This window comes from Homo sapiens, chromosome 3 (assembly GCF_000001405.40).
Source record: "Homo sapiens chromosome 3, GRCh38.p14 Primary Assembly".
NCBI classification, from domain to species: Eukaryota; Metazoa; Chordata; class Mammalia; order Primates; family Hominidae; genus Homo; species Homo sapiens.
Window position 1 is genome coordinate 63,443,222 of NC_000003.12, and position 12,575 is coordinate 63,455,796.

At 38.0% G+C, this 12,575-nt stretch overlaps 1 protein-coding gene and 1 long non-coding RNA gene across 5 annotated transcripts in view, besides 1 other annotated feature; one reads left to right on the forward strand and one right to left on the reverse strand.

The window, feature by feature from the left end:
• The window catches only part of SYNPR (synaptoporin), a 416,321-nt gene that overhangs the window by 242,618 nt on the left and 161,128 nt on the right, over positions 1 to 12,575 (forward strand). The window contains exon 1 of one of the 4 annotated variants that reach the window (NM_144642.5): positions 91 to 248. The exons of the other annotated variants lie outside the window; for them this stretch is intronic. Coding sequence (NP_653243.1) covers positions 225 to 248 — 24 coding nt within the window. The 5' untranslated portion in view covers positions 91 to 224. Of the gene's footprint in view, positions 1 to 90; positions 249 to 12,575 lie in introns of those variants that run through there. 4 annotated transcript variants of the gene reach the window in all.
• SYNPR-AS1 (SYNPR antisense RNA 1) overlaps positions 1 to 12,575 on the reverse strand; it is a 126,456-nt gene that overhangs the window by 19,626 nt on the left and 94,255 nt on the right. The window contains exon 2 of the long non-coding RNA NR_046677.1: positions 1,050 to 1,118. This is a non-coding gene — a long non-coding RNA (SYNPR antisense RNA 1). The remainder of the gene's footprint in view (positions 1 to 1,049; positions 1,119 to 12,575) is intronic.
• Positions 973 to 1,517: an enhancer, noted in NCBI's record as "NANOG hESC enhancer chr3:63429870-63430414 (GRCh37/hg19 assembly coordinates)". NCBI's record gives its function as "activates a minimal SCP1, AML or CMV promoter by ChIP-STARR-seq in primed H9 embryonic stem cells {active_cell/tissue: H9 hESC(primed)}" and the evidence as "EXISTENCE:reporter gene assay evidence [ECO:0000049][PMID:30033119]".

Here is a 12,575-nt window from a genome sequence, read left to right on the forward strand (position 1 = left end):
TAATATGACCGTTTTGCCATCTCTCTGCAAATGAGGCTGAAGCTGCTATCTGATTGGTATAACATCTCACTTTCCCTCTGCATTGATTTTCTTCTTCTCCTCCTTTGCTTCATAAAAAGAGGGACAAGTGGCTGGTGCTGTGGACAGAGAAGCTTTATTTTTAGTATGAGACAACCTCTATTTTCTTTCAGGAGAGGGAAGTTGGATTATCAATTCTTTTGTAAATGTGTATGGTGATATTTGCTCCGGTAAGTTTACAGCTATCTTGATTTACAGCTGGCTGTGGGGATATGTGTGTGCATGTATGTGTCTCCATAGGCACATTTGGATTGTACACTTTTCTTTCCAAGTATCAGTTTTTAAGTCTCTAGTAATAATCTCTATTTTTCTTGACTTTGCTTTCTTGTAATTTGTATGTTTAAACCAAAGAGGCTGTGTTGATACTGAAATGCTTACTTTAGCTGTTTAAGTATGTGCTGGGTTTCTTTGAACATAGTAAGGAAACTATTTAAGCAAACTTATATTTGCTTTATAAAACTGTAATGTCATTCTACCCTACCCCTCCTTCCTTGGAGTGTTTAATATCCTAAATACATTCATTGTGCTGCAACCTGCTTACCATTTTAATTAAAGTTTCTTCATCAGTGTCAGAGTGAAAATTACTTAAACTCCATATACAGCTACCAAATATTATATGTTGTGCTGAAAGGTGCTAGTTTTATAAGGTCTTATAGCAGTATGTAGAAAGAATGAGTTTCCCCTACGATTGGATGCATGCACCTTTAAAAGGACTGAATTTAGAAAAAGTATTCAGATCACTAAATGAAGTCCTAGCATGCCATGAAAAGCTACAATCACAAGTGGCTGTTGCTTCTCTTTCGTCTTTCTTTGCACTGTGTATTTCTGCCACCATCTGTCAGATGCCCAGTCCGGGCTCCTGTGTTTCTATATGTGAAGCTAATCAGGAGAAAAGTTGCTGTTATTAAATTTAACTACTGCAAAATGACTGTCCGGTCACCGTTGCTGGAAATGATTTTTAAATGCATTACCTGGTTAGCTGCGTTCTTTTTGTTCGAGAGTAAAAGATGCTCTGAATTCTTCATTGTTAATTCAGAAGTCTGGGGAAAAGTATTTTAATATAATTATTCTAGACAGGGATGAGAAGATGATTAAATAATTGCTTTAATGGAAACAAACTGATGCTTTAATCTTCTCTTTTTGTTATACAATCAACAAATCTGCATAGTCTTTTTCATGGTGAAACGAGCTGGAGAATAGATTTGTGATGAAAGTTAAAGGCACCATGGCATGTGAAGCAAGACGAGGTCTGACTATACATTTTTCAGAGATTTCGAGAGTAAAGTTGGGAATATCATGCAGGCCTAGGGCTCGTAGGCATAGATTTTTTTCAGGATAGCAATTTTTCAGATTTTGAAGTAGTCTTATGACAGCTCAGAATGCCTGTCTGGGAGTGCACTAACCTTCATATCTACTCCCTTTTGGACGTGCCACGACTCACACACGCTGTGCACACTCCAATGAAGCTACTCATTTTGACAAACAGACTGAATTTTGATCAATCTAACTCAGCCTCAAAAATACACTAATCCCCCAAACCCACCCAAGTTATTATATTGCCTTGTTACTGGTCCCAATAAGCATGTGCCTAGTGTCAGTCTTAGACGACAAACCTTAGCTGGAGCCAAGTGTATCTTAGCAGATAATTTGTTGGAAAAAAAACAAAACAAAACACAAACAAAACTTTTATCCTTGGGCTGTTGCCAATTACTGCTAAGTAAACTCACCAGCATGGAACATCACCTCTTCCCCTCCCCAACACACACACATCCAATCCCTCAACGTCCTTTAATATTTTATATAATATATTTTATATAATCATTCTCCTTTCATGGCTGTAACAGGTTGTATGTGAAGTCATTTGCTATAGACAGAGCTTATCATCATCTGAAGCTATTCAGTAATATAAATTAATGAAACTTGAGGTGGCAGCATGCATTCTGCATGTGAAAGTTATGCCTTTTCCTCCAGTCTGTTAGTTTACAGAAGTGTTAGGGCTCCAAGCATACTCAGGCCCACAAAGGAAGAACAAAAAGGCATCTGTATCTTTAAAAGGTCGGGATCCTTAGTTGGAGTTAGAGCCAATGTGCACAGTTTTTACAAGTATCACTTCTGAAAGGTCCATAATATCATAACCAGAAAATCTGTCATAATCTCTTCCAAGCATTAAAGACTTTTGTCATTTGGGGGAAAACAATAAAGGGATTTTTAAAATTTCATAATCAGCTCCTCTCTTCTTTTTAGCATAATGAAGAATGCAAGAGTCATTTCCATTTAGTAAGTACATCCTATATGCCTGGCACTGTGCTAAGCATTTTACATGGCTTATCCCCTTTAATCTTGACAAGCACTCTATGAGGGCCATAACATTACCTCTCCATTTTACAGATGAGAAAATGGAGACATAGGACAAGTATGTAACTTACTTGAGGAAACACAGTGAGCGGGATGAGTCTCGGAACCAGGCAGGCTCATTCCAGAGTCCTGCTCTTCCTACCTCCCATCTGTCATTGGTACAATCTACAACAAACGCCTAGACTGAAATGATTTCCAGGGACCTATAGTTAAACATCCTATTTTTCCCCATTCTGATACAAGGTAGTCTCCTTCCTCTCAGACTATGTCTTTATGATTCCAAGCTAAGTATGTCTTTGAAACTGAAGAATATGTGTTTTATTTCCACTCAACTTGAGCAGATACAAAGATATGAGTGTGACTAAATGAGCCCACCTAGGGTAAAATTTATGCAGAAGTGGATAAATCAAGGTAGTAGTTCTTTTAATTGATCAAAGTAAATCAATTCCTTTGACCTTCAGTCTTTTGGACATAGTCAAAATAAAGATGCGATGACAGCTTAGAAATATCAATATCTCAAGGCAGCTGGTTCGTCATTGGTGCAAAATATAAAAAGCAATTCCAACGGAATCATTTTTGGAGAGCTTTACAAAATTCTCACCTTCCCTTTACTCACTCCCACCATGTTTTTTTTTTTTTTTTAATTTCTATTCTTTGGCTAGCTGGAAAGGGCTGAGGTAGCACTTCAGGTTGAATATTGCAAAGTGTCTATCTCACCTGGGTAATTTAAAAAGGAACACAGCTGTCAATAAGCATGCTGAGAAGCGTGACAAAGACGAAATTCAGAGTCCCCAAATGCATTCCTTTGCACCTGAGCAGTGGGCTCCCCATTTTAAATCCACTTGAGCCAATAAAATTCAGATGGATTTTATAGGGGGAAAATGCAACTGACATAGAATCAATAAGGTTGAAATTTCTCTTCAAGTGGCAGCTTCTGGATGAGAAGCAGGGCATTCTAGTCATAAAGTGAGCCTGTAAAATGCTGCATTATGAGAAAGGATTATGAGTGGTGAAAATGTTGCTAGAAGATAGAACCTAGCTCACAACACCTTTGCTAAATTTACCCAAACTCAGAGGGATCTTAAAAACAAACAAACAAACCGCTAACAAGCAAACAAAAACCACCCACCACAAATTGGAAGAACTAAGAGTCAAGTTTTGAAGTGGTTAACACAATATTGAGTTCTTGGTGTGATCTGCTGTGTCTAATAAGCAACAGCTTTTGAGCTACTCTTGGTTAGGCACCCAGTTAGTTAAAAAAAGTTCAGAGTGCAGTACACAATAAAATACATTTCCAAAATGATAGTCATTTTTGTCAGAGGCAAGCTTGGTTAACTCCTCAATTCTGGGTTATGTCTTTCTCTTGTTCTTAAAAAAAAAGTCATAATTGGGTGGTTTAATCAGAAAGTGTGGTATTAGAGCCAATACTGATAAATAAATTCAAATCAATTTGCTTTTTCCAACAGCATTTATGAGAGTTCTAAATATACTAACGGCCATCAAACGAAAACTTTTACTTTAATAAAATATATTGTGCTCAACCACAGTGTTCATCAAATATAGACTATCCCTAAAAACTAATCTTATAGGCAAGTTTATAAAGTATATCATATTTCAGTCCCTAGCTAGAAGATGCTGCTTTCTTCAGAGGGGTGACTAAATTCCAAATCAATAGTACTGAGGATTGTACTCCATCTTGCCTATGTTTCAACCTGCCCTTTCTTTGGCTACAGATGTGTGTACTTAAACATATTGATCATTAAGCACTTAAAAATTATCTATTAAGTATGGAGAAAGCAGCTGGTGTTAACACATAATTAGTTTTGGACTAATCTTGCATTTTTCGTTAAACATTCTAGGCTGGTGTACAAATAGAGCTGGTGGTCCTGTTACATGCTTGTGTAAGAAAATAAGTCAGTGAATATTTTGAGCCTGAAATCAGCACATGAAGCACTAAATCTTCTAGAAGAGGCTCTTGGTCATCAGTGTGTCTTTAAATGTTTAAAGATTCAGGGTTTGAAAATGGAAACACCTCAGTCTCTCCACTCTGCAGACTAATGGATCTGCATAATTAATATATTTTACTGTGATTTTTTTTTTTTTAACACAAATTCTAGCCAAAAGTACTATTGGAAAATTGTTCAGGGGCAACTCCAAACATGTTTTCTTATAGTTTCTAGAAAGCTTACTCACAACACAGGCTATCAGTTTACCATGGAGCTTTGAGTTGGCCAATCTAAGTGGATGATCATGACATTATTTTCTTTTGGAGTAAATGATGTGTTGGGCATAAAAGGTTTCTACTGGTATTCCCCAGGGGACTTATTTAGCCTTGCCTACAGAATATTTATTTATTTATTTATTTTTGAGATGGAGTCTCATTCTGCCTCCCAGGCTGGAGTGCAGTGGTGCAATCTCAGCCCACTGCAACCTCAGCCTCCCGGGTTCAAGTGATTGTCCTGCCTCAGCCTCCTGAGTAGCTAGGACTACAGGCATGTGCCACCATGCTCAGCTAATTTGTGTATTATTAGTAGAAGTGGGGTTTCACCATGTTGGCCAGGCTGGTCTTGAATTGATAACCTCAGGTGATCCTCCTGCCTCGGTCTCCCAAAGTGCTGGGATTACAGGCCTGAGCCATCATTCCCAACCTTACACAATCTTTAAATCCTCCCAAATTACCACACCTTGTCTCAATGTAGACTTACTGGCAAAGATATAACAAATATTTTGGGCTCATTTTATTTCTGGTAAAATATGGCTTTCAGAATATATGTGTCAAATATGAATTATTATTGCAAGGACTTCTTAAGTCACCATATTGACATTCACTTCTCAATGTTGAACCCACACATCTTTATCTGGCTTTAGATCTCCATGAGGGAGGAAAATGGATAAGATTTTCCAAAACCTGTGACATTCAAACTACCTTCATATGAAATTGAATGGCAGAGGAAAAACATTTTTTTTTAATTGGGGGAAGATTTTAGAAAAAGTCTGGAATGTGGATGTCACTTTTTTTTTATTTAATAAATATTTAAGGATGCCTACCATGTGCCAGGCACCATGCTAGGCATGGGAGATACAATGATGAACAAATATATATAATTTCTGCATTCCCAGAACTAAATGCCTTCATTTTTCCATTTTCTCACCTAAACTGAGTTTCTATTTCATGGCCCAGGATGTGTTTTCTTAAAAGCATAATTGAACTGTTCTAGTAAGGCATTTGCAGGAAATGTGTGCTTTTGGTCCTATATGTTCACACTCAGTGAAGGAACAAGAGTGAATCCACTTATTTACTGATGTGATTATTGTCTGCTGAAATGGAGTGGTAGGAAGCAGGGAGCTGGAAAAGATTTTGTAGTGTGTGTGTCTTATAAGCATTATTTATTGCTTCGAGGCATTCTCAGATTTGATAGGCCATTCTCATTCTTGGACAGTATTGGGAGAGGAAAGAAGGGAAAAAAGCTTTGAAAGGAAAGAAAAGTAAAGAAGATAAAGAATAAACAGAGAAGGTGCCTAAAGAAACTATGATTTTCCCTGGCAATCTGAAATAGATCTAACTTGTATTATCTGGTTTTTTGTGGGTATTCACTCACTCATCTATCTATTCAATAAATTTATATATTGGGTACCCTCTTTAAGCCAAGTACACTACTAGATGCTAGGGCACAGAAATAAACAAGATACACTAGTTCCTGAATTCATGGAACTTCTAATAGACCAGGATTTCTCAAACTTGGTACTATTAACATTCTGGTGCAGATAATTCATTATTGTTAGGGGGCTGTTTTATGTATTATAAGATGTTAAGCAGCATCCCTGCCTTCTACCCACTATGTGTCAGTAGCAATCTCCCCACCCAACCCCCAGGTTGTGACAACCAAAATTACCACCAGACATTGCCAAATTGCCCCTGGCTGAGAACAGTACAGGAAACGCAGTAATTGCCACCACCTTTGACCAAATCCTCCCACCATATTTCTACTTTTCTTTCTTTCAGATACTCTGCTGCACAGTTTACCCTAGGGTTTTTAAGTTGCTTTCCCCGAATATACTAGTGCCATTTGCCAACAAAGACAAGTAAGGCATCTCTAAGTCCTTTTACTATTACTATCCCTTACCTTTGCATAACACTTTACCACATTTGTGTAGCTTACATTATCTCATTTGATTCTAGCAGTCAACTAGTAAGACAATATTAAAATATTATCACCTTCAACAAGTGAATAAATGGACATTTAGATGGTTACAAGCCCAAATTCTTACAGCTAATAAAGGATAGAACCTGGATTCACACTCACATGTCCTGGCTTAAAAACCAGTGTTTTTCTACACAATTATACTATTTCATGGGGAAAAAGGTAAGCAGAGTTAAAGCATACTTTTACTCTTTGAAGCAGTTCAATAAGGGCAGCACAGCAGTAGTTAGGGAATTTGAGATCTACAGGCTTGGCTTTCTTACTCAGCATTTATTAGCTGAGTGGTTTTGGACTGCCCACATACATTCTTAGAGTCTCCCCAGTAGTTCACGGAATGTAGAGTGATTATTGCAAAAGCTGCAAGAAGCCCTAGAGATCAGCCTACCACAGTAGAGAGAGTGCGGGTTTTGAAGTCGGATGGATCAGGTGTGTGAGTCAGCATCCAAGCAGGAAGCAGATAACACCTTCAAACTATCTGATCTCTTGCTGGTGACTCTACACCATTAAAACTTAATTTATTTAAGTCAGAAAACTGAAGCCCCAAGAGATGAGTTGAATTGCCCAAGCTCTATGGTGAATTTGGTACAAAAGGAAGATAACAGAAGAGCTCAATGTCCTTCCAGCCTAGTGAGCTGAAGAACCATTTTAAACAGAGGAAGGCTGGCATATGGATCTGGCTCAAATCAGAAATGTATGTGTTTTGGGTTATAAGCAGATGTCTAGGTACCTGAGACAGGTTCCTGGTTTTTCAACTGGACGTACCCAAACATCTTTGGGGGTTATTTTAGCCAGTTTCAGCCTCACTAAAGGATGCAGAGCATGTACTCCTAGGTGGCTCTTAGAAGACTGGTAGACATGAAAAACACATAAAAGGCAGGTGGTGGTTTGCAGTGGGCTTGTCACACATGCTCCTGAGCTTGGATAGATGCAGGGCTTTGCCAGGAGATGGGGCTCACACTGTTTGTGGGCCCATATCCTTGATCTTTTGATGAGCTGTTAAAAGGTATCTGTAATTATCGAGACCCTTGGCACATTTGCCAAGATAAAAGGCCTTTCAAGTATATTGCTCTGGCAGCATTCCCAAAAAGAAAACTATCTTCTACCTGCATTGCCTCAGAGCACTCAAACTTGCAAAGAGAGGAAATAGGTCCAAATCCCGGCTCTGCGATATAGGGGTATGTATGGCCTTAGACAATTCATCTGCCATCTTGGGGCCTTCGTATCTTCATCTGCAAAATGGAAATAATGAGTACCATTATGAGTAATAATGAGTAACTTCCCAGAGTTATGAAGAAGATTGCTGTCATAGATGAAATAGGAAAGTACTGTTGAAACTGTGCAGGCCTGGACAATAGCATTGTTATTTTCTTCCTCTGTAAGTCAAAGTCCATTTTGCTATCAGTTTTCATTCCATGCCCTCGATGAGTGCTTGAGGTTAGGGGAACCATTTCCCCAGTCTACCAGGAAACTCACTGCAGTTATGGGATGGGTTTAAAGTAGTCTGGAAATGCTTTGCTGGGTGATTCCATCTCAAGGGGAGATTTATGCCTTATTATAAATTGCAGGAAGAGAGAATCATCACTGAAGAATAACTATAATAAAACCAAATGCAATATGTATAAAGCCATTCCCTATGATTAGCTCATCTTAGTAGTGCCCCTGAATTTTCCTTTCCACTTTCTTAAGACCCTGTTACCCCCATCAGTCTTGCCATTACCCATTTGTTGTGGAGTCAGGGCAGAGGCGGCAGGGACTTACAGGACCTGGACCTTGCCCATCAGTTTCTAACACTGTGACTTCAACGCTCTCCCCTCTCCACATGATCCTGGAAGCTCCTCAGGGGAATTGACAAGTCATAATTTTCTCCCCAAGTACAGATGCTCGGAGAAAGCCTCTCTTTGCCTGCTCTGGGTTTCTCATTAGCCCCCACTATAGGATATTCAAGGGTTTCTCATTTCTCATGTTTTATTTACCTCAAAGCATCTCCTAATACATTTGATCAGAAAACTCGGTTAGCTCAAATTTTTTTTGAAGACCATTATCTGCTGGCATTCCTCTCCCAGGCTCCTTCCCTCAGCTCACCTCTTCACTCTGAGTGGTATTTATAAACTCCTCAACTTCTGAGGCATTTGGAAGACACCCTCCTTTCTTCCTCCCCCAGACCAGTTCCCTGATATAATTTTTTTCTCTTTCTCCCACTGCCTTCACACTCAAAGAAAGGGTTTCTCAAACGTTTTTTCTCTGGATCTCTTCAAAAAGGCAAGAATGTTTTCTTATTTGCTCACTCATTCATTTGTTCGTATGTTCATTCATTTGTGCATTCTATGTAATACTGAGCAGCCACTGGGTGCCGGGTTAAGATTTGGGATACGGAGGTAACTAAAACAAACATGGTCTCACGTAAGACTTGCAATCTAGTCGGGGGGACAGGCAATTTAAAAATCCCTCAAAAGTGATTTAATTATCATTATAGTAAGTGCTAAAAATAAAAGCTAAGCCATCTTGGGTACTAATTATGTGACAGGCACGGATCCAAGTGTTTTATGCATATTAATTCATTTAAGCCTCGCAACTATGCTTTGAGGAAGTTAAAAGAGGAGAGGATTAGTGCCCATAAAACCTGAAGGGCATAGACTCCATTAGTAAATTTGTGAATATTGGAATGAGGATGATACACCAGGACAAGATGCTAAGAGTTTGCATAGATGACATTTATGTAGCACTTTCTGTTTACCAGGCACCATGCTCTATACCTCATACACAGGACTTGAACCTTCACAACAGCACCATGAAAGATCACTATCATTATTTTAAGAATGGGGAAAATGAGACGTAGAGAGCCTGAGCCACTAGTCCAAAGCCACACATTGTGTATATGGTGACTCTGAGAGTATAGCTTAGGTGCGTTTGACCCCAAGTCTAGGCTCTCACCCATTATGTTAACCTGTGAAAAGTTGACATTAAATATTCCTCATACAGTTTATGTCCTGGTAAATACTGGTAAAATGGAGGGAAAAAATGGATCTTTTTATGTGTATCTCAATTAGAGCCACAATAATCGTTCTTGAAATAAAATGGAACTTTGTATGTACTGAGAGTGTCGAATCCTTAACCTTTAAGCATATTTCCATGTAACAGCTTCCTGTTCAAAGGGTGAGCTGAAGACCAGCAGCGTGGGCATCACCTGGGAGCTTGTTAAAAATGCAGAGTCTCAGGTTCCATCCCGACCTATTGAGTATTGGAATCTACGTTTTAATGATCTCCAGATGATTTGCATACACACTTATGTTTGAGAAGCTCAGATCTAGCACAAGTTAAAAGAATAGGCTTCCAGCCCTGGTTGTGATGCTAACTGACCAGTTGTTTGACCTGCCCAGATTTTCTTTGCCTTTTCAGTGGAAATGACCTCAGCTCTCTTCACAGAGGAGTCAGGAACCCCCCAACAGAAGAGCCTGGGGAGGAAGATTCCACAGAAACTCAGAGACTCTTTTTTACCTCTGGAATCAGTTTCTCACTAAGTAGTCCAAGGACCACCTACATGAAAATCATCTGGGGAGTTTATTAAAAATGATGTTCAGATTAAAAGTAGACCTGTCAGAATGGCAATAAATGCCAAAAATAGGGTGTCATAATGTCTTCAAACACCAAGAGAAAATGGCTGTTAGATGAGAATTGAGTATCTCTCCCAAGGTGTTTATCTGGGATAAGGATGCAATAAAGTCATTATCAGACAAACATTAAATGACATCTAAACTTCACATTTGATTAATCTCCTTTTGGGAGGAACTGACACTGGAATGGGTACTTTGGATCCACCCAAACTTGAAGTTCAAATCCTTGCTCCCATTACCCACTACCTGTGTGACTTTTGAGTGACTTACGTTTTTGAGCCTCCGTTTTCTCGTCTGTTAAAAGAGGAGCAAATTCTCACCATTCAGGAAAGAGAGCAGCTCTTTTGAGGTTCTTTATAACGTAAATAAGTATGTGGTAAACAGTACTACAATAAATAAATCACAACTATTATTATTGGTTATTCAACATAAAGAGATTTCACAAAAAGTTACTTTTAAATTATCTGTATTATCATGATATAATCATTATTGCAGTAGATAGAAACCTATTTAGAATAACTTTTGAAGTAATGTTTAATTTAATTTAGCATACAGTTCTTGTTACTTCATTCATTAATTTATTCATTCAGTAAATGTTTATTAATAGTCTACTAAGTACCAGGAGCTTGCCCAAACACTGGGAATGCAGTAGTGTTATATGCTATATGGAGGGGTGAAATGAGGGACAGAAAATGTTAGATAGAATAAGAGCTATAGAAAAATACAAATCAGGTAAAGGGGATGGGCTGTTCTTTCAAATACATATTTTAATAATTGAATTAAACAGTAAATTTATCAGAAGAAACTTACAGAAAAATTTTGGAAATAACTATGTTTACCTTTGTGAGTTTTCCAATTTTCTCTCTAGGTTTTCTTTTAAATGAAACTCAGTATTTGAAAATTTTAAATTGATTCGAAGCTTGTTGACCAACCAACACCACTTCTTCTGCTTCCCAGAGAATGTGTAACTATTGCAGGTTTATGACCCTTAATACTTAACAAAATCATTCGTTATTTTATGTGATACTAACAATAGCCCCATGAAACAAACAGGTGAATTGCATATTGAGTTTTCCATTAAGGGAGAGAAACTATGGCTCAGGAAGGCCATTTCCAATGGATCAGAATTTTACCACTGGTTAATAGGGATGTGGGAGACACAGACAAAGGTCCTCATTCTCCAAATTCAACTTGGACTTTACCACAGGATCTCTACTTATTTGTCAATCCCTTGAAAACCTCCCATAAAACAAAGGTGAGGGCTCTGGGGTGGCAGAGATCTCTGTGTGATGTGATGTGATGTGATGTGATGTGATTATTCTGCATGGTGGGGAATGGTTGAGGTTATTGTAGGTTTAAACTATTACCATTGCCTAAATATGAAGGTGTTGAGGATAAAAACAAAATAAATGATATAAAGGCAAATGGAATTTATGAGCCATGGAGCATCAGCTTCAAGAAAATGTTAGACTTATATGTGGAAAACATATTAGGTTATAACGGAATTTTCCAAACTCAACTTTACTTAAGTTTTAGAATGGAAAGTTTAAACATTCAATCCAAATAAGATCTTTTTTAATACTTTCTGATTTTAATTTAGGAATAATTTTATTCTTACTGGCCCTAATTTGACGTTATAGTTTAGTGAATTCTACCAGCTAAGTGTCCAATAGGTACCTTGAAAATGTTACCTCTCTCCTTATTCTCTCTGGTCCACAAACAATGCTATTACTTAATAATTGAAATATTTGAGCCAATATGTTAAAGGAGACAAAAATATCATTTCTAATTATTATAACTCTTATAGGACAATTAGAATACCACTGGGCTTCAAGAGAGCAGTGTCCATCCCTGGACTCTAGAATGGCCTGATTAATTTTCCAGTCTTATTGAGGTTAAAATTCACATTACACTGTTCAAACTCTACTTGGAATTATTTCTACAGTGAAATAATGACATTTTAAACTATCATAATTGGTCATGCCTTTGCTTCTTTCACACACATGCTGCTACATTTTTCCCCCAACTATGTTTGGAGTATGAAATTTGGGAAAGAATAAGAAACACCCTAGGATGTTCGGCCATCCTTGATAGTGATACAAATAGCTAAAGTGGTAGTACAAATCATTTCCTAACGTATGTGGCTCCAAAGTTCTGACAGGGCAGATGTTCACCCAGAAATGGGTCAACTTAGTTGACAAGTATGGTTGAAGATTATTAGTTAAATAAGCCTAAAAAAGTCCCCAATTTCCCTCTCTGATTTTGCTTCTGTACATAGTCATGTTTGGGGTGTGTGTGTGTGTGTGTGTGTGTGTGTGTGGATCTTCAG